The following is a 21,415-nucleotide window of genomic DNA, read 5'->3' as shown; positions in this document are numbered from 1 at the left end:
GTCCTCCCCAGAACTTGACTCTGCTGGCATTCTGACCTCAGTCTTGACAGCTTCCAGGACGGTGAAAAATAAATCTCTGTCGTTTAAACCACCCAGTCTATGATACTCTGTTATAGCGGCCTTAACTGATTAAGACAGTATGATTCTATTTTTTTTTTTTTTTTTGAGACAGAGTCTCACTCTGTCTCCCAGGCTGGAGTGCAGTGGCACGATCTCTGCTCACCGCCACCTCCGCCCCCCGGGTTCAAGTGATTCTCCTGCCTCAGGCTCCCGAGTAGCTGGGACTACTGGCGTGCACCACCATGCCCAGCTAATTTTTGTATTTTTAATAGAGACAGGACTTCGCCATGTTGGCCAGGCTGGTCTCGAACTCCTGACCTCAAGTGATCAGCCCGCCTTGGCCTCCCAAAGTGCTGGGATTACAGGTGTGAGCCACCGCACTCAACCAGTATGATTCAATTTATATAAACTTTTTGGAGGCCAGGCACGGTGGCTCATGCCTGTAATCCCAGCACTTTGGGAGGCTGAGGTGGGTGGATCACTTGAGGTCAGGAGTTTGAGACCAACCTGGCCAACATGGCGAAACCCCATCTCTACTAAAAATACAAAAATTAGCTGGGAGTGGTGGTGCATGCCTGTAATCCCAGGTACTCGGGAGGCTGAGGCAGGAGAATCACATGAACCCGGGAGGCAGAGGTTGCAGTGAGCAAAGATCGTGCCACTGCACCCCAGCCGGGGAGACAGAGTGAGACTCTGTCTCAAAAAAAAAAAAAAAAAAAAAAAAAAAAAAGGTGTGATTTGGGTTTCTAAGGATTCCCAGTGTGTCCTCATCGGTGAGGACCTCTGATGCATGGAGAGGTAAGTGCAGTGGAGAGCATATCCACAAAACAGAGATGAGGCTATTGGGATGCTGGAGATTACGTGACAATTTATGAGTGACACACAGCCAAGAACAGAACCAGGACTGGATGCCCATTTCGTCATTCAACAAATATTTACTGAGCACCTACAATCCCTCAAAAACTGTTCTAGAGTCTAAACCGATGGGGTCGTAACCATGCCCCCAGCCCACTCCCTTGCAGGAAAGACCGTGGCTCCAGGTCCCCCACATTACTGATTAAAAAAAAACTCCAGTGCTCTGGCCATGGGCGTGAAGGCAAGGACAGAGACCGGGAGGATAATGAGGCCAAACAGCTTTGGCCCACCGCCACCGGGACTGGCAAAGAGGCCAGACCTCCTAATGCTCTTCCTTGGAGGAAGGAGCAGTGTTTGATTTGGTCAAGAGGCCAAGACTAAAAGTAAGAGGATAAACACGAGCTGGCTGGACGCGAGGCTGGCTCAGGGCAGTGCTGTCGGGCTGAGGATTCAGGGAGCTGGTGTTGTCCAAGCTTCACATTTGCGGAAACTACAACTCCCAGCGTGTCCCGCGGCCGCCCGAGCGGGCGTCATGTGATGCATGCTCACGTGTCTCCGCAGCCGGCTCGGGAAAGAATCCCCCAAGGTAGGTGGCCGGAGACAGGCTCTGGAGGGTGGAAGTGTTAGATCCCCGAGGTCTGTGGAGCCCCTCAGTCCCCGCCACCGCGGAAAAGCTCAGACCCTTTCCCTGCAGGGGTCCAGATCCTGGCGTCCTCGCCCCACGCCCGTCCCTCTGTTGCGCCAGCTCTGCCGCGCCTTTACCCAGCCAGAGGGTCTCCACCCAGTCCTAGGCCGGGATCGGGTCCCGGAGCTCCTCCCCAGGTTACCCCACAGTAGCCCACCCTTCTCGCTCCAGGCCTGGGAATCGCCCCGCCCCGGCCTCCTGGCCCGGGTGCGCCCTGGCTCACCTCACAAAGCCTCACCTCACAAAGCAGCCCACCCTTTCTATCTCAGGGCTCCAACCCCAGGCTGGACTGGGAGCACACTCCAGTTGGGATCTGAGGGGCCTACATCGCTGGCCTGAGCATGTGGGCATCAGGCTTCTATTCTGGCTCTGCCAGCTACCCACTGTGACCTTAGTCTAACCTCTCCCTCCTGGGCCTGTTTTCCTATCTGTCCTGAAGCTCCATTTCATGAGTAAGCGTGAGAGCCGCTCAGTTTCCTCCAGCTCTGCTGAAGCCAGCACAGAAGTAGCCCAAACTCTTCCCTCTGCTGACAGCAAATTTTAGGCAAAGTCTTGAGAAAGAAGAAATTGGGTCCAGAAAGGGAAGTGAGGAGAATCAGATCCCAGACCTTTGGGGAGAAGGAGCAACCGCCTCTGGCACAGCCCATCAGGGAGAAAGAGCAGGTAAGGTGCAACAATGAGCTGAGTAATTTGCCAGTGAGCAGTGGGGGTGCCGAGAGGTCTTAACCAAGGCAGAGAATCTGCAAGAGGTGGGACCCCCAGCTTCTGAGTTCCACGAGGACCCCAGCCTGCACTCTCATGTGGGTGGCAGGAGAGGCTGGAGGATGGTGCAGGACTCGGGCAGGGGTGCCCAAGGGAAACATTTTGGTTGGAGAGTCAGGAAGCCGCACCAAGCCTTGTGACCTTGGACGAATCACTCTGTAGACCTCTGTCTCTGTGACGTGAGCAGCGGGGAGGAGATGGTCACAGCTCTGGCAGTGGTCACTTTGCAGGGTTCTTTCTCTAGCTACACTGGAAGCCTGGGAGTCCCAAGACTCTGCCTTCGCTGCTCACTGCTTTGATTTTGCTGAGTTGCTGGTTGGGTGACAGGATGTGTAAGAGGATGTGTAAGCCCTGTGACATCTGACAGATCTTTCTGGGTTTCGAGCCAGCAGAGGAATGTTTCCTCTGGTGCCATGTCCCTTGGTTCCATGCTTGATAACAGATGGCTGAGAGCACATGAACTTTCACCCTTTCCCTCTCATGAGTGGATGGTCCCCAGCTTTGTTTGTCCATCATCAGGAGGAGCAATGGGAAGTAGTCCAAGGGGTCTTGTTAGTCATTTTAAACCCCCAGTGGGCTGAAGGCATCAGAGAGGGTGGCCCAATGGTTAGGGCAGTCATTATGGCTGAATATGCTCAGTTCCCTTTTTTTCCCTCTGGGCTATAAAGACTAAACCAGGCTGGGGGCTGTGGCTCACGCCTGTAATCCCAGCACTTTGGGAGGCCGAGGCAGCAGGATTGCTTGAGCCCAGGAGTTCAAGACCAGCCTGGGCAACATAGTGAGACCTCCTCATCTCTACAGAAAATTTAAACATGACAGGCGTGGGGGGCTTGTCACGTGGGAGAAGTCACATGGGAGAAGAGTTGAGAATTGGCCTGAATTTTGAAAGGCCAATTTTGTTCCCCACAGGAACAAAAAATTTAAAAAGTTGGCCAGGCGTGGTGGCTCACGCCTGTAATCCTAGCACTTTGGGAGGCCAAGGGGGATCACAAGGTCAGGAGTTCAAGACCAGCCTGGCCAACATGGCAAAACCCCATCTCTACTAAAAATACAAAAATTAGCCAGGCATGGTGGCGGGCACCTGTAATCCCAGCTACTCAGGAGGCTGAGGCAGGAAAGTCTCTTGAACCCGGGAGGCAGAGGTTGCAGTGAGCTGAGATTGTGCCATTGCACTCCAGCCTGGGTGACAAAGCAAGACTCCGTCTCAAAAAAAAAAAAAATTTTAAAAGTTAGCTGGCTGTGGTGGCACACACCTGTAGTCCCAGGTACTCGGGAAGTTGAGGTGGGAGGATTGCTTGAGCCTGGTAGATTGAGGCTGCAGTGAGCTCTGATTGCGCCACTGCACTCCAGCCTGGGCAACAGAGTGATACCCTGTCTCTAAATAAATAAAGACTAAACCAGGGAGGGAGTAGAGATTAAAATGGAGTTTTGTATGAGTACCGTGAAATCGGGACTCAGGAATGAGGAGACTCTAGGAGAAGGAGTCTTTGGCAGATTTCGCCAGCCTGGGTGGTAACCAGCTAATAGCAGCCTCTGGGGAAGACTGCCCTGGCTCCTCCCTGCCCCCTTAGTTCCTGCCCTTGAAATCTGGCCTTCTTCCTGCTCTTTCTCCCATTAGCTATCCCAGGGCCTCTGTGCCCATTGTTACCTGGCCAATAGCACCAGGCTGTGGTTTGAGTTTTGTTTGTTTGTTTGTTTTGAGATAGAGTCTCACTCTGTCGCCCAGACTGGAGTGCAGTGGCGTGATCTGGGCTCACTGCAAACTCTGTCTCCTAATTTCGGGCGATTCTCCTGCCTCAGCCTCCTGCACAGCTGGGATTACAGGGGTGCACCACCACACCTGGCTAATTTTTGTATTTTTAGTAGAGATGGGGTTTCACCATGTTGGCCAGGCTGGTCTCAAACTCCTGACCCCAGGTGATCTGCCCACCTCGACCTCTCAAAGTGCTGGAATTACAGATGTGAGCCACCACACCCGGCCCAGGCTCTGGTTTTGATCAGTGTTCTGCTCCCTGCTTGCTTAGGGCTGGAGAGTCTCAGGCATGGTGGTGGTGGGCAACATGGGAAGGGGCATCTGCAGAAATAACAGCAGCAGTGACCATTTATTGAGTCTTAAACCCTTACTGATATTAACACACGACCCACAGGAACATATGATGTAAAGGCCTAAAGGGGCGAAGTGACTTGCCCAGGGTCACACAGATAGGCAGCGGAGGAGTCAGCATTCTGACGGCAGAACCTACTCGGAGACCCAGATCACAGCCCTGCCCAGGGCTGCTCTTGATCTGGGGGTGGACTTGATGCTTTAGGACCATCATTTCTCTGCGGGTCTCAGGCTATGAGCTGAACCTTGAGAACACTGAAGATCCTTTTTCAGGGCTGGGCTCCTCAGAGCCTCTCGAGATTCTTGGAAGAAAAAAAACTGCATCTCAATTGTGTTTATCCAGAGAGCAAAGAGAATCAGTCAGGTGATAAGCCTGTTATCTGAGTTCTGCCATACCCAAGGTACCATCTTGGACCCAGGAGTGGGGCAGATACAAACAGATGGATGCCCTATGGTCAGACAGGCCTGGGTTTGAATCCCAGCTCCACCACTGACCGCCATATGACTGAGGGGAGAGTGGTTATCCCCTCTGGGATTCAGCTTCCTCTTTGGTAAAATGGTGACTGTCATGTCTACCTTTTAGGGCTGCATTGAGGATTGAATGAGAAAGCATTCCATAGCTGCAGCAATAGTGGTTTATAGTGACAAACAGCACTGCATGTTTGGCACTGATCATTGTAATCTAGCCCAGGAAAGCAAGCCTAGTGGCCAGTGAGATGCTAGCACATGAGAGAGTACTGAGAAGAAACCAGCTAGAGTGGTTCTGGGCCCCTACATGGCTCCAAGAAGAGCTCAGTGAGTGACCCAGGAAATGGGGAAGAAATAGGACCTAAAAGGGTGGCGGCAAAGGAGTTGGGAGCATTAGAAGCATGGGATGAATCACTGTTTTCCTGAAGACGCAAACATGACAGGCATGGGGGCTTGTCACATGAGAGAAGAGTCGAGAATTGGCCTGAATTTCGAAGGGCCTCGAAAGCCACAGAATTCAGACTCCAGGCCACCGGGAGGCGTGCTGGACTGTAATATGTTGAATCTCAGTTCTTGGTAAGGGGTCCTTTTGGGACCCTGTGGGGTGGAAACAGGCTGGGAAGCCAGACAGATCTGGATCCAAATCCTGCTATGCAACTTGCTAATATATGACCCTGGGTCAGTGATGGGATCTCTCCGAACCTTTTGACCACAAGACCATCCTAAGGATTGAATGAGATAAAGTATATCCATGACACACCTGCCCGATGCGGGGCCTCTATCGAGTGCTGATGTGTTAGTACCCATTTTATGTTGACATCTAACTGGTCCATTGAGTCTGTATGCCTGAAGCAAGCATGATTTGCACCTGATCTGTTTCTGTGTCTGTCTCCCCATACTCTGGCACCCAGTGCACTGTCTGCACAGAGGCATACCTGGGTTTGGACCCTACCCATGTGATCTTGGGAAAGTTATTACACCTTTTTGTCCCCTAGTTCCCCCATCTTAGGATAACAGTAGTGCCTGCCTTTGTCCCATCTAGGTTGAGAAGAGTCCTAAGCTAACAGCCCCAAACAGGTGGGTGTTGCTCAGCTCCCTGAGGCATGTGGTTGTAAGGCAGAACCCACAGACCTTGCAGGAAGAAGGCTCTCGGGGCCATGGCCCAGGTCAGCATCAACAATGACTACAGCGAGTGGGACTTGAGCACGGATGCCGGGGAGCGGGCTCGGCTGCTGCAGAGTCCCTGTGTGGACACAGCCCCCAAGAGTGAGTGGGAAGCCTCTCCTGGGGGTCTGGACAGAGGCACCACTTCCACACTTGGGGCCATCTTCATCGTCGTCAACGCGTGCCTGGGTGCAGGGTTACTCAACTTCCCAGCAGCCTTCAGCACTGCGGGGGGCGTGGCAGCAGGCATCGCACTGCAGATGGTGAGTGCACTGGCCGGGAGGGCAGAGGTGCAGTTCAGTTGGGCGCTTTGCCTCAAAAGGGAGGCTTCGGGTCAGGGATGGCCAGTAAGTGATACACGCACTGCTCTCCCCTCCCTCACACATGGCAGACATGACTAATCTATTCTAGTATTCTTTCCTGTGACCCAAATGAGGCTTCAGAAGCCTTCCAACAATCAGAGAAATTTGAACATCAATTACATCTCTAATTTTTTAGGTGTAACATTGATTTTGTGGTATGTTTAAAAAGAGGGCCCTTATCTTTTAGAACTACATACTGAAATATTTATTGATGAAATGATATGATAGCTTATATTGGCTTCACAATAAATGCAGAGTGGGAGGGAAGGGGAATGATGAAACAAGTTGGCCATGCATTGATCATTTTTGAAGCTGAGTGATGGATACATGCCAGTTCTTTTTACTATTCTCTTTACTTTTTTCTTTGAGATGGAGTCTTGCTTTGTCACCCAGGCTGGAGTGCAGTGGCCCGATCTCGGCTTACTGCAGCCTCTGCCTCCCAGTTTCAAGTGATTCTCCTGCCTCAGCCTCCCAAGTCGCTGGCATTACAGGCACCCACCACCATGCCCAGCTAATTTTTGTATTTTTAGTAGAGACGGGGTTTTACCATGTTGGCCAGGCTGGTCTCAAACTCCTGACTTCAAGTGATCCTCCTGCCTCAGCCTCCCAAAGTGCTGGGATTACAGGCATGAGCCATCGCATCCAGCCTATTCTCTTTACTTTTGTATGTTGGCAATTTTTCAAAAAACTTTTTGTTTTTAAAGAAAATCTCAACTCGGCATCCTCTAGCAGTCTCTTAAAATTGCCTTTGTGAGATTTGCCAAGCTTGCTTTGGGCACTGGCCCAGTAAATGCTAGGCGAGCCCAGGGTGCCCTCTGCTGCCAGGCCTTTGCCACAAGCTCTTGTTCTGCCTCTGCCTGCAGGGTATGCTGGTTTTCATCATCAGTGGCCTTGTCATCCTGGCCTACTGCTCCCAGGCCAGCAATGAGAGGACCTACCAGGAGGTGGTATGGGCTGTGTGTGGCAAGCTGACAGGTGTGCTATGTGAGGTGGCCATCGCTGTCTACACCTTTGGCACCTGCATTGCCTTCCTAATCATCATTGGCGACCAGCAGGACAAGAGTGAGCTTCTCCCTCAGTCCCTACCCCATCTCTTCTTATCAGCCCCAGGGATCCTGGGGTGGAGGGAAAAGGCACTGAACACCTCTCCAGGACTTACCTGGGCCCAGCATTCATCTGGGAATCCTCCCTCCAGGCAGAGGGAGGTCCTGGGGCCCAGCAGAGCAGGAGGGCCACACCCCATGGTGGCCTGGCTTGACATTCCCTCCTTCCTCCCTGTGCAGTTATAGCTGTGATGGCGAAAGAGCCGGAGGGGGCCAGCGGCCCTTGGTACACAGACCGCAAGTTCACCATCAGCCTCACTGCCTTCCTCTTCATCCTGCCCCTCTCCATCCCCAGGGAGATTGGTTTCCAGAAATATGCCAGGTTTGGAGGCCCCAGCCTGGGTCAGACAGAAGCTATGATCCTGGGCAGCTGTAGACCCAAGGGCTCCTGGGGAACCCTGCTCCTCCATGCCACCTCACCTTGGGGAGCAAGAGTAGGCAAGGCAGGGCAGACCGGGGCTTGCAGGGTTTCAGATAAGACCATCCTTTTCTGTCTCCATCATAGAAAAAGGATGCATCCATGAGAGATTCAGTTCTAAATGTCCTTTTGCATCCATGAGTAGTTCAGTTCTAAGTGCCCTTGTCAAAGAAGGAACAGGTGGTATCTGGGCGGTGAAGGCAGCCTCCTGGCATTCCCTGGGAGGAATTTGGGTCTTTGAGACTGTCAGCCTACCAGCATCTTACCTGCAGCTTGGCATGAAGGAAGGAGACTGGTTTCCTGTCTCGGTGTCTGAAAGGCTGTGGGATTCTAGGCTTCCCCGTCTGTAAGTGCAGGGGCCATGCTCCGCTCTCTCCAAGGCTCCCATAAATGTTGACACAAAAGTGTCTGTACTCTCAACCCTCTTACCTCTGGCATCTCTTAGTTCTCAAAGGCCAGGCTCAGAGGATGGTCTCCCACAGCCCCTGCCCGGGCTGGGCTGCTCTGATTCAAGTCCCAGGTGTGCTTTGGAGCTCTGCTCTCTGCATCGTCTCTGAGCCATGGAGCTGAACCAGCACTTCCTGATGGCCAGGAATGCTGATCAGGTCCCCTGTTGGCTGTCCAGCTCCTTCCTAGCTGTGGCAGGTTTCTCTGAAACTACTTCTCAGGCGTTTCCTGAGTCTGCTTGGCATAGTCTCCGGTTCATTCAGTGGACACTTGTGGTCGCTAGAGCTGAAGGTGGATGTCCCTAGGGGTGGAATCAGATAAGAGGCAGCTGGGGATGAGGACACTTAGTCTCTCCTTCCCGGCAGCTTCCTGAGCGTCGTGGGTACCTGGTACGTCACAGCCATCGTTATCATCAAGTACATCTGGCCAGATAAAGAGATGACCCCAGGGAACATCCTGACCAGGTGAGGGTGAGGGCCCTAGGAGACATGGGGAAGAAGCCACCACTTGGGCCCCAGCAGGTGCTGGGTCAGGAACCAGAAGGCCACACAGGTGCTCTTCTCAAGGCTCATGAGCTCATCAGGGCTGACTTGGTCATTGTAGGAAGGAGGAAAGAGCCCCTGCTCTGATGTTACTGGAAGGAAGAGCAAGAATCAGAGACAGGAGGCACTTTGCCACCTACATCCAACAGATGAGCCAGTGTGAGGCTAGGCCTTGGGTTGTGGAGGAACCTGAGGGTGGAATCCCAGGGTCGAATTGCCTGTGTTTCCAGCATCTGCTTATCTGTAATTTCTGTATCTTTGAGGGTGAATTTATTATTAAAAAAAAAGGGGGGGGGCCAGGCACAATGGCTCACGCCTGTAATCCCAGCACATTGGGAGGCCGAGGCGGGCGGATCATGAGGTCAGGAGATTGAGACCATCCTGGCTAACACGGTGAAACCCCGTCTCTACTTAAAAAATACAAAAAAATTAGCCGGGTGTGGTGGCAGGCGCCTGTAGTAGCAGCTACTCGGGAGGCTGAGGCAGGAGAATGGCGTGAACCTGGGAGGCAGAAGTTGCAGTGAGCCGAGATCGCGCCACTGCACTCCAGCCTGGGTGACAGAGCAAGACTCCATCTCAAAAAAATACAAAACAAAACAAAACAAAAAAAACAATTTCCTTCTTTTGAAAGGAACAAACCAGTAAAGCAAAAGCCCCAGTCCAGGAGCCAGGAATTCTGGATTTTGGCCCCAGGGGGGCTTTTCTGAACCTCCAGGCCCCATCCCAGAGGGCCCTGGGACATAAGGATGCCTCTTCTCCCTGTTCCCAGACTTCTGTGGGTTGAAGCTATGGAATCCCAGTTGCTGGAGACCATGGTGGGCTGACCGAAGAGTGAGGGCGTGGGGTGGGTTGTGGCTCTGAGGGGTTCCCAGGTGGCAGCACCATGTGTGTTTGTTCACAGGCCGGCTTCCTGGATGGCTGTGTTCAATGCCATGCCCACCATCTGCTTCGGATTTCAGGTGCCAGTGCCAGTTGCAAGGTCCCTGCTGTCCCCTTAGATCACCCCACCCTGGGATGGAACCCAGCAAGGAGGAGGAACCCAGGCAGAATGGAGGAAATCCTGGGGGGAAGGATGGAACAGGGGCCTCAGGACTTGCCCCTTGTTCCTGGGGTCTTTGTTCCCAAGGTACCTTCCTCTGGAAACTGGGGTTGAGGTCATTTCCCCACCATGACGGTGCCCTTCACCTGGACAGTGCCACGTCAGCAGTGTGCCCGTCTTCAACAGCATGCAGCAGCCTGAAGTGAAGACCTGGGGTGGAGTGGTGACAGCTGCCATGGTCATAGCCCTCGCTGTCTACATGGGGACAGGTGAGTGCTCCCCCCCCCCAAGACCTGGGACTAGAGTGCTCTCACTTCCACAGGAGTCCCTAGGTCCTGGGGCCTAGCTTTCCTGGGGACAGCCCTGCATTCCCAGCATGACTTGTATAGGCATTGGCTTGAACTTGGCCTGCCTGGAGCCTCCTCCTGCCAAGATGAGAGTGGTGTATTCATCCATTCATTCACCAGTTCTAACTTGGTGCCTAGGAAGTGCCAGGAACGGTTCTCAGCATGGGGGATGCCATGGAGAGAGACAGAACTGGTCTTGCCCTCATGGAGTTGACATTCTTGTTGGAGAGACAGTCATGCAGGAGTAACTGGGGAATCAGTAAGGAATTCCAGATGGTGGCAAGCATCCTGATGACAGTGAAATAGGGAAGGTGTGTTTTGTTTTATTCTATTTTATTTTGTTTTGAGAAAGGGTCTCAGAAACTGTCGCCCAGGCTGGAGTGCAGTGGCATGATGATAGCTCACTGCAACCTCAACCTGCTGAGGTCGAGTGATCCTCCTGCCTCAGCCTCCAGAGTAGCTGGGACTACAGCCATGTGCCATTGTGCCCAGCTAATTTTTTTTTTTTTTTTTTTCTAGCAGAGACAAGGTCTCACTATGTTGCCTAGCCTGGTCTTGAATTCCTGGGCTCAAGCAATTCTCCTGCCTCGGCCTCCCAAAGTGCTGGGGTTACAGGCATGAGCCACCAACCCAGCCTAAAATGGGGAAGGTATGAATGGGACTGGATGGGTGGCTTTGGGAGTGGTTCACAGAAGGTTCTTCTCAGAGAAGGCCCAAATGATGAGAAAGAGCCAGAAGAGGAGGAGCTGGGGAAGAAGGGTTCCAGGCAGAGGAACCACAAAACACCAAATCACTGAGGCAGGGCCAGGAAGAAAGTCTATGTGGCTGGAGTGGTGTGTGATGGGGGCAGGTGAAGGCAGTGAGGCCAGACAGGCACTGGCAGCCAGATCCTGTTGGGCCTCGAGGGCTGCTGGGAGTCATCGAGGAAGTGTTTTAAGCAGGGGGGTGGTTCGGGGAAAGGTGGCTCTGGCTGCCGTGTGGAGAGTGGTTGGGGTGAGGGAGCAAGTCTAGGAGACCCTGGAAGAAGGATCCCCTGAGTTCTTTCCACGGATAGACCGTAGGAGCTGCCTGGGCCAATACTGTTCTAGCCTCTGAATACACAGCCAGGAACAAGAGAGGCAAACAGCCAAATCCCTATTCTCCTGGGGCTCATGTCCTGGCTGGGGAGACAGAAAATAAGCCTGTAAAAATTAATTACTATTATTATTGTTATTATTTTTATTTGTATTATTGTTTACTTAAAGACCAGTGTGATAGTACAGTTAAAAAAAAATTAGAAAGCGATGAGGCCAGTCACAGTGGCTCACACCTATAATCTCAGCTATGGGAGGCCAAGGTGGGAGGTTCTCTGGAGCCCAGGAGTTCAAGACAGGCTGGGCAACATGGTGAAACTCCATCTCTACAAAAAATTTAAAAATTAGCCAGGTTATGGTAACATGCACCTGTGGACCCAGCTACTTGGGAGGCTGAGGTGGGAGGATCGCTTGAGCCTATGAGATCAAGGCTGTAGAGACCCATGATCATGCCATTACACTCCAAACTGGGCAACAGAGTGAGACCCTGTCTCTAAAAAAGAGAGAAATGAGTGTTAGGGGACAGGCCCAGTGGATCATGCCTGTAATCCCAACACTTTGAAAAGCTGAGATGGGAGAACCGCTTGAGGCCAGGAGTTCAAGACCAGCCTCGGCAACATAGTGAGACTCATCTCTACAAAAATTAAAGAATTAGCTGGGCGTCCGCCAGGCATGGTGGCTCACGCCTGTAATCCCAGGACTTTGAGAGGCCAAGGTGGGTGAATCACTTGAGGCCAGGAGTTCGAGACCAGCCTGGCCAACATGGCAAAACCCTGTCTCTATCAAAATTACAAAAATTAGCCGGGCGTGGTGGTGGTGCCTGTAATCCCAGCTACTCGGGAGGCTAAGGCATGAGAATCACTTGAACCTGGGAGGCCGAGGTTGCAGTGAGCCAAGATCGCGCCGCTGCACTCCAGCCTGGGGGAGAAAGTGAGACTCTGTCTTCAAAAAAAAAAAATTAGCCAGGCATGGTGGCATGTGCCTGTAGTCCCAGTGACTTGGGAGGCCAAGTCAGGAGGAACTTGAGTCTAAGAATTCAAGACTACAGTGGAACTATGATTGTACCACTTCACTCCAGCCTGAGTGACAGAGCAAGATCCTGTCTTTAAAAAAAAAAAAAAAAACGGCCAGGCACTGGGGCTCACGCCTGTGATCCCAGCACTTTGGGAGGCCCAGGCAGGCAGATCACATGAGGTCAGGAGTTCGAGACCAGCCCAACCAACATGGCGAAACCCCATCTTACTAAAAATAAAAAAATTAGGGCTGGGCGTGGTGGCTCACGCCTGTAATCCCAGCACTTCCCGAGGCAGGCGGATGACGAGGTCAGGAGTTCGAGACCAGCCTGGCCAACATAGTGAAACCTCATTTCTACTAAAAATACAAAAATTAGTCAGGCTTGGTGGCGGGCGCCTGTAATCCCAGCTACTCGGGAGTCTGTGGCAGGAGAATCACTTAAAACCAGAAGGCAGAGGTGGCAGTAAGCTGAAATCGCACCACTGCATTCCAGCCTGGGTGAAAGAGCAAAACTCCATCTCAAAAAAAAAAAAAAATTAGCCAGGTGTGGCGGCAGGTGACTGTAATCCCAGCTGCTTAGGAGGCTGAGGCATGAGAACCCAGGAGACCAAGATCATGCCATTGTACTCCAGCCTGGGCATGACAGAGCGCGACTCCATCTCAAAAAAAAAAAAAAAAAAAAAAAAAAAAATTAGCCGGGCATGGTGTAATCCCAGCTACTCAGGAGGCTGAGGCAGGAGAATCACTTGAACCTGGGAAGTGGAGGCTGCACTGAGCCGAGATCGTGCCACCGCGTGCCAGCCTGGGCAACAAGAGTGAAACTCCATCTCAAAAAAATAAAAAAGAAGAAGGCTGGGTGTAGTGGCTCACACTCTGGGAGGGTGAGGTAGGAGGATTACTTGAGCCCAGGAGTTCAAGACCAGACTGGGAAACGTAGCAAGACCCCATCTCTACAAGAAAATTAGCTGGGTGTGGTGGCATCTGCCTGTAGTCCTAGCTACCTGGGAGGCTCAGGTGGGAGAATCGCTTGAGCCGAGGAGGTCAAGGCTGCAGTGAGCCATGATCACACTACTGCGCTCTAGTCTGGGTAACAGGGCAAGACTCTGTCTCAAAAAAGAAAAGAAAAATAAGACAGCGTGATGTGAGAGAGTGCCTGGGGTGGGGGTCATTGTAGATGGACTGGCAGGAAGCATTCTCTGAGGAAGGACATCTAAACTGAGACCCAAATGATAAGGAGATGGCATCTGAAGGTCTGCCAGACAGAACAGTCAGTGCCAAGGCACTGAGGTGGGAATGTGCTGGGCAAGTTCAGGCTCAGAAAGCTGGGGGCTGGAGGGCTTCCAGCGATGGGGGATCTGAGAAGTCAGGGAGGGAGGCATCTGATCGGAGCCCCATCTCCCACTCTGAGCCTCCGTCTAAGTGTCCAGAGCTGCTGCTGCAGCCTCCAGGCTGATGTTGCTCCTAGGAGGAGTGGACAGTCCACCCCACTACCCTCCCAGGGTTGCCCTGACCCAGTTGTCCCTGCCCACAGGCATCTGTGGCTTCCTGACCTTTGGAGCTGCTGTGGATCCTGACGTGCTCCTGTCCTATCCCTCGGAGGACATGGCCGTGGCCGTTGCCCGAGCCTTCATCATCCTGAGCGTGCTCACCTCCTACCCTATCCTGCACTTCTGTGGGCGGTGAGCCCCCTTCCACTCCCCAGGGCCCCTCCTAGCCCCTGTGAGCGCTTCCAACATGGTCCTTTGGCCTTGTGTGGACCCCATCCTGTAGAAGGAGAAACTGAAGCCTGTAGAAAAGAGTCGGTGCCTAGGATGGGTCCCTACATATCCCAGGCCAGGTGTCAGAAGCGCCCTTTGTCCTGGGGTCACCAGAACATTCCGTGAGTCCTGTAAGAATCTCTATCCATGGCATGGCACGGTGGCTCACGTCTCTAAACCCAGCACTTTGGGAGGCTGAGGCAGAAGGATCGCTTGAGCCTGGGAGTTCAAGACCACCTGGGCAACCTAGTGAGACCCCATCTCTACACAAAATAAAATAAATAGCCAGGTGTGGTGGGATGCACCTGTGGTCCCAGCTACTCAGCCACTTGGGAGGCTGAGGCAGAAGGATGGCTGGAGCCCAGGAGTTCAAGGCTGCAGTGAGCCAAGATTGCACCACTGCACTCCAGCCTGGGTGAGAGAGCCAGACCCTGTCTCAAAAAAACAAAAAACAAAAGAATCTCTATCCAGATCCTTTCCTGAGCTTTCACATGGACACCCTCCCCTTTGGATGCCCCAGACAGTTCCTTTTAAGGAAAAAACAATATCAGTTTCCATGTGATGTAAAGCAAAGTGCTAAGCTCTCGACATTCACCGTCTCTAGTCCCTGTGGTAAACAGAGTGCTGGTGGCCCATTTTACAGAAGAGGAAACTGAGGGTCAGGAATGGGGCTTTCCCCGCAGTCTACCCAGTTAGGGGTCTGGCTCCTGTGAGCTAGAGGTGGGGAGCTGCTAGCAGCAGGGGCACCTCTAAGCCCTTCTCCATGTGGGCAGGGCGGTGGTGGAAGGCCTGTGGCTGCGCTACCAGGGGGTGCCAGTGGAGGAGGACGTGGGGCGGGAGCGGCGGCGGCGAGTGCTGCAGACGCTGGTCTGGTTCCTGCTCACCCTGCTGCTGGCGCTCTTCATCCCTGACATCGGCAAGGTGATCTCAGTCATTGGAGGCCTGGCCGCCTGCTTCATCTTCGTCTTCCCAGGTGCGGACCCCTGGCGCCCCATCTCACAGCCCCACAGCACAGACTCCCAGGGCCTGCCTAGCCTCAGCTCCCTACTTGCTCAAAACATGCAGGAGAGAGTAACCACCAGCACTAATTGATCACCTGTCTCGCCTCTGTACTAGCCCCTATCCAAGCATTATCTCCTGGAAAGAAGGTATAGTTGTGATCTCCAGTTTACTGATGGCACGTGGGGCTCAGAAAGGGTCACAGACTTGCCTAGAGCTTAACAAACTCAACTAGTAACCTTTTCCATCCCACGCTGTCTGGGTCCAGAGTCTATTCTTTTAACCATTCATTCAGGTGTCTGCTGCTCCTTGACTATGAGGGATCTATCTGGCTGGTTCAGCCCATTACAGCCCAGAGGGCAGTGGGGTCTGGGGTGGCACCCTGACACAGACATCAGGGAACCTGGGTTCCAGACACAGATCTACCGCCAGATCCCTGGAGAACTGTCCTGTCTGCCCAGCCATGAGTTCCACCCTTTTCCAGCTTGTCTCTATCCAGGAAGCCACCCTGAAAGCCCCAGCTGCTTTGCTTGGAGCAGGGGAGCCAGATCTGCTGGGAAGTGTACTAGGAAGACCCCTGGGGTTGGGCCACCACTGAGTCACCATTGAGTGCTGTCCCTTTAGCTGAGTCTAGCATGCTGCCCAAGGGGTCTTGTCAGATGCCAGCCTGTCATGGGAGAGCAGATGCCAGATGACCCCAGCAGGATGTGGTGTGGGGGCAGAGATGGAATTTCTAGAAGAGTAAACATGGGCCTTTCTCCATCCAGCACTGCTTCTTGGGAAAGGAGGTGGCTAGGAGGGAGGGAGCCCTCTCCCCTCACAAATGCTCAGGGCCACTTCTTCTCTTTCAGGGCTGTGCCTCATTCAAGCCAAACTCTCTGAGATGGAAGAGGTCAAACCAGCCAGGTAAAGCAGGACCCAGCCCTTGATCCTCTCAGGGAGGTGCTGGATTGGAATGTGGCTTTGTGGGGGCCTTAAAACAGATAGGAGTCAGAGGCTTGTGTACTTAGAAATCATGGGTTTTTGTTTTGTTTTTTTTTTTTTGAGCCGGAGTCTCGCTGTGTCGCCCAGCCTGGAGTGCAGTGGCACGATCTCAGCTCACTGCAAGCTCCGCCTCCTGGGTTCACACCATTCTCGTGCCTCAGCCTCCCGAGTAGCTAGGACTACAGATGCCTGCCACCACACCCAGCTAATTTTTGTATTTTTAGTAGAGACGAGGTTTCACCATGTTGGCCAGGCCGGTCTCGAACTCCTGACCTTAGGTGATCCTCCTTCCTCGGCCTCCCAAAGTGCTGGCATTACAGGCGTGAGCCACCACACCCAGCCAGGTTGTTGTTGTTTTTTTTTTAATACTTTTAAAAATTCGGTAGTGTGCTAGTTGTTAACAATTTAAACATTAATAAAGGGCTTAATACAAAAAGATGGAAGTCCCTCTTCCCCCACAACCCACTCGCCCCCACATCCTTTCTGAGATAGCTCCATGTTACCAGTATGGTCTGTGTCCTCAACCACTTCTGTACATGTGTGCGTGTCTGTGTACACATAGCTATGGAGATGTATACATAGATGCAGGGCTCTTGTTTTGTTTTATGAAAAGTGGTTTCAGCCAGGTGCATTGGCTCATGCCTGTAATCCCAGCACTTTGGGAGGCCAACATGGGCAGATCACCCGAGGTCAGGAGTTCGAGACCAGCCTGACCAACATGGTGAAACCCCATCTCTACTAAAAATACAAAATTAGCTGGGCATGGTGGCACCTGCCTGTAATCCCAGCTACTTGGGAGACTGAGGCAGGAGAATTGCTTGAACCCAGGAGGCGGAGGTTGCAGTGAGCCGAGATCACACCATTACACTCCAGCCTGGGCAACAAGAGGGAAACTCTGTCTCAAAAAAAAAAAAAAAAAAAAAAAAAAAAAGCCATACAAACATGTCTAAAAAAGAAAAAAAATTGGCCAGGCACAGTGACTCACGCCTGTAATCCCAGCACTTTGGGAGGCCAAGACAGGCAGATCACCTGAGGTCAGGAGTTCGAGACCAGCCTGGCCAACATGGCAAAACCCCGTCTTTACTAAAAATACAAAAATTACCTGGTTGTGGTGGCGCATGCCTGTAGTCCTAGCTCGGGAGGCTGAGGTAGGAGAATTGCTTGAACCCCGGAGGCGGAGGTTGCAGTAAGTGGAGATCGCACCACTGCACTCCAGCCTGGGTGATAGCAAAACTCTGTCTCAAAAAAAGAAAAAGAAGAAGAAGAAAAAAAATCACCCTTTATTTCTTTTTTTTTTGTCTTTTTTTTTTTTTTTTTTTTTGAGATGGAGTTTCACTCGTTGCCCAGGCTGGAGTGCAATGGCGCGATCTCTGCTCACTACAACAACCTCCACCTCCCGGGTTCAAGCGATTCTCCTGCCTCAGCCTCCTGAGTAGCTTGGATTACAGGCGCCCACCACCACACCCAGCTAATTTTTTGGGTTTGTTGTTGTTGTTTTGAGATGGAATCTCGCTCTGTCACCCAGGCTGGAGTGCAGTGGCATGATCTCGGCTCACTGCAACCTCCAGGGTATCTGGGATTACAGGTGCGCAGCACCATGCCTGGCTAATTTTTGTATTTTTGGTAGAGACGGGGTTTCACCATGTTGGCTAGGCTGATCTCGAACTCCTGACCTCAGGTGATCCGCCCACCTTGGCCTCCCAAAGTTCTGGGATTACAGGCGTGAGCCACCATACCCAGCCATTTTTTGTATTTTTTTAGTAGAGACGGGGTTTCACCACGCTGGCCAGGCTGGTCTCAAACTCCTGACCTCAGGTGATCCACCTGCCTTGGCCTCCCAAAGTGCTGGGATTATAGACATGAGCCACCACACCCAGCCTAATTTTTCTATTTTTAGTAGAGATGGGGTTTCGCCATCTTGCCCAGGCTGGTCTTGAACTCCTGACCTCAGGTGATCCATCTGCCTCGGCCTCCCAAAGTGCTGGAATTACAGACATGAGCCACTGCACCCAGCCTAATTTTTCTGTTTTTAGTAGAGATGGGGTTTTGCCATCTTGCCCAGGCTGGTCTCGAACTCCTGACCTCAGGTTGCCCGCCTTGGCCTCCCAAAGTGCTGGGATTACAGGTGTGAGCCACCACACCCGGCCGGAAATCACCCTTTATTTCAATTCCGTTTTATCCCTGTTGCTGTTAATTGGTACATACATTTGCAGATGTCTGCTTTTTGTTTCCTTTTTTTAATGAAATAGACCACATTCCATGTGACGTGCTTTTTTCTGAACATCTTTCCATCAGGATGCCTACATTCGAATCGTGGCATGATGTGAACAATCAGTTACTCCCATTAGATCTTGGTCTTCTTACCTATGGACTAGGGACAATACACCTGGCCCCACACTACCTTTGTATTGAAGTCTTTGGGAAGTAGGAAGTGCTCTACCAACAGGAGAAGTGCGATAATTACAGTAATTAACAGTTATATATATTGAAGTCTGCAGTCATGGGATGGGATGACTGATCAGACCTCTCTCACCCTCTGTTCTACAGCTGGTGGGTGCTGGTCAGCTACGGAGTCCTCTTGGTCACCCTGGGAGCCTTCATCTTCGGCCAGACCACAGCCAACGCCATCTTTGTGGATCTCTTGGCATAACCACTGCCTCCCAGGGAACACAAGGCCTTTGCCATTGGTCGCAGGAACCCATCTCTTAGAGCTATGGGGCCATTCTTAGTCCACGATCATTCCAACTGGTGGGATGACATCCGGACATCCTCTTCCAGGGACTGGGGCAAACTCAGGCCCCACACCTCTGGACAGCTCAAATCCAGTCCCCTTCCTGCTCCCCAGTCCTGGCAGTGCCGTGGATGGCGGCAGGAAGTCTCACATCATAGAGGACCCCTCCTCCTCTCCCAGTTCTCAACTTCTCCATGCCTGGAATCCACGGGTGAAGAGAGTCGGTAGATCTCATAAGAAAGAATCCAGTCTGACTTCCCTCTGGAGAATGACTATGGACAGAAGGCCACCATCCTCCACAGAGCACCCTGTCCTGAGTAGGGGTTGTGCTCATTACCCCAGGCCAGTGGTAGCTTCCTCAGGAGCCTGGCCACTTCCAACGGTAGCACTGAAGTCATGCAAATGCATAGTCAGGTAGATTCAGACCTTGTCCACACCTTCCTGGGCAACCCCCACCATGAACCTGTCAGCCTCTTTCCCATAGCTAATAGACATTTCCCAGGCCTTGAGGGGCCCCACCCTGTCTCTTTCATCAAACCTGATGGTCCAGGCTGGGCATCCCTCTCCTCCTCCATCCCCAGACATCACCAGGTCTAATGTTTACAAACGGTGCCAGCCCGGCTCTGAAGCCAAGGGCCGTCCCGTGCCACGGTGCTGTGAGTATTCCTCCGTTAGCTTTCCCCATAAGGTTGGGAGTATCTGCTTTTGTGTCTGAGATGGGCCCCTCTTTTCAGAGGCCGCAGGGTGGGTGATGGAGAAGGCTGAGAACCTTTCAGACCCTCTGTGTGGGCTGGGCTGGTCAGAATCAGGGTGTACCTCCCCGACACCTTCTTTTTCAGTGATGTTTTCTCTTCTTCCTGCCTTTCCTCTGCCTCCTCCCCTGCCAGCCCTAGCGTGACTACCCAGAGACAAAAAAAAAAAAAAAAAAAAAAGGCAGGGCTGGGCGCAGTGGCTCACGCCTGTAATCCCAGCACTTTGGGAGGCCAAGGCGGGCAGATGACTTGAGGTCAGGAGTTCGAGACCAGCCTGGCCAACACGGCAAAACCCCATCTCTACTAAAAATACAAAAAATTAACCGGGCATGGTGGCGGGCACCTGTAATCCCAGCTACTTGGGAGGCTGAGGCAGCAGAGCCGCTTAAACCCAGGAGGCAGAGACTGCAATGAGCTGAGATCGTGCCATTGCACTCCAGCTTGGGCAACAAGAGTGAAACTTCATCTCAAAAAAACAGAAACAAACAAAAAGGCAGCTGGGTTGTCACTGATGGGCAGCATTTGAGCCTGCCACACTGGCCTGGAAGTTTCCCTTCCAGTCTGGATTTTGTCTGCTCCTTCCTTCCCCCTCACCCCGTTACCTCTTCACCTCCCATCTCACTTCACTGTGTAGCTCAGTCTCTCCCACGCACATAATTGGGGACAGTGGGGGCTCTCTTACCAGCCTCCTCAGCAACGCACGTCCATCAGGCCTGGCCTCAGTGGCCAGCCACATTGATGTCACACTGGAATTGTTACCCCAGAGAGGGCGAAGAGATAGGCTATCTCCCCACCTCCCACCCTACTCCCCACTATATTCCCGTTTTGACCACCTCAGCCCCTCAGCTGCCCCCTCTCACTTTGGCCAATCCCAGGCACCAATCAGACTTCCTCCTCCACCTGGAGCCCCTAGCATTTCCTTGTCCCCTCTTCCCCAAAACCTCTGTAAAGGGTACGAGAGGGACCCCCTGCCGAGCCGCCCGCCACTCAGGGCAGTCCGATCTAAGAAGCAGAAGCTGGTTGGAGGCTGGCTGGGCCTCTGTCCAGTCCCCAGATGGATAAACTGCCTTTTCTCACATCCCCTCTTGGTGCCTGATCTTCTCTGCCCCCGGGGCCAGACCCACTGTGCTGTTTTCTGTCAGTCTGTGGCACAGCACCAAGCTCTGCCAGCACCAGTCCCTGACAGGGCTAGGAGGACAGCCTGGTCAGCAGGGCTGCAGTCCCCCAGTGCCGTGTTTCGGGGGTCAAGGGATGTAAGTGGAGTCATTGCACAGAGACAGACCAGTCAGGAGAAGGAGCTGGAATCTGGCCTCTTGTCCTAACCTCAGGAGCCCCCTCCCATCCTCTCCCCACCCTCCCTATCGGGGTACTTCACTGTTTCTTTTCTACTTGTGTATACTCGAGAAAGGGAAGATGGTTAATAAAAGGGATTTGTGCTGCTGAGCCGTGTCCCCTGTGTCTGATCCTGGGGACAGAGTCCAGGCCACTGCCAGGAGGAAGAAGGGCTGGGGTAGGAGGTGTAGATGGCATGTCACTGTCTCTGACCCCTATCTCCGGAATGGCACCGCCATGCTCCCTCTACCAAGCAGGGACCTGCAAGTGGCTCTTGCCACCCCTGCTTTCTTCCACATTCTACCTATCCTTCTCCAGTGACTTAGGAATGTATCGCAGTCTCCAATCCTGCGACCTCTGCCTTCACTTAAGCCCTCACTGTCTTTCCTGTGCCTTTGTGGTCTCAGACTGTCCCCC

General features: G+C 52.7%; 1 protein-coding gene across 14 annotated transcripts, besides 2 other annotated features; it reads left to right on the top strand.

The window, feature by feature from the left end:
- Nucleotides 1,232–2,076: an enhancer, noted in NCBI's record as "H3K27ac-H3K4me1 hESC enhancer chr16:58718046-58718890 (GRCh37/hg19 assembly coordinates)". NCBI's record gives its function as "activates a minimal SCP1, AML or CMV promoter by ChIP-STARR-seq in naive H9 embryonic stem cells {active_cell/tissue: H9 hESC(naive)}" and the evidence as "EXISTENCE:reporter gene assay evidence [ECO:0000049][PMID:30033119]".
- SLC38A7 (solute carrier family 38 member 7) lies at nucleotides 1,448–21,109 on the top strand. Of its 14 annotated transcripts, none has more exons than NR_161424.1 (12): nucleotides 1,448–1,501; nucleotides 2,040–2,263; nucleotides 5,977–6,361; nucleotides 7,324–7,522; nucleotides 7,744–7,885; nucleotides 8,794–8,892; nucleotides 9,872–9,929; nucleotides 10,164–10,278; nucleotides 13,975–14,122; nucleotides 14,974–15,348; nucleotides 16,051–16,105; nucleotides 18,731–21,109. NR_161424.1 is itself a non-coding variant. In NM_001369608.1 (12 exons), the coding sequence occupies exons 3-12, from the start codon at nucleotides 6,092–6,094 to the stop codon at nucleotides 18,831–18,833; spliced, it is 1,389 nt and encodes a 462-aa protein (NP_001356537.1). In that variant the 5' UTR covers nucleotides 1,448–1,501; nucleotides 2,135–2,263; nucleotides 5,977–6,091; the 3' UTR covers nucleotides 18,834–21,109. The 14 variants fall into 14 exon arrangements, 13 of the variants coding, with proteins under 13 accessions (NP_001356537.1, NP_060701.1, NP_001356538.1 ...); NM_001369608.1 differs by having other exon boundaries at nucleotides 2,135–2,263; nucleotides 14,974–15,173; NM_018231.3 differs by having other exon boundaries at nucleotides 14,974–15,173.
- Nucleotides 1,662–1,721: an enhancer, noted in NCBI's record as "active region_10934". NCBI's record gives its function as "activates an Ori minimal core promoter by ATAC-STARR-seq in GM12878 lymphoblastoid cells {active_cell/tissue: GM12878}" and the evidence as "EXISTENCE:reporter gene assay evidence [ECO:0000049][PMID:35858748]".
- Nucleotides 21,110–21,415: the final 306 nt, after the last annotated feature.

Source organism: Homo sapiens, chromosome 16 (genome assembly GCF_000001405.40).
Source record: "Homo sapiens chromosome 16, GRCh38.p14 Primary Assembly".
Classification (NCBI taxonomy): Eukaryota; Metazoa; Chordata; class Mammalia; order Primates; family Hominidae; genus Homo; species Homo sapiens.
This window is presented reverse-complemented; position numbering and strand designations above follow the sequence as displayed.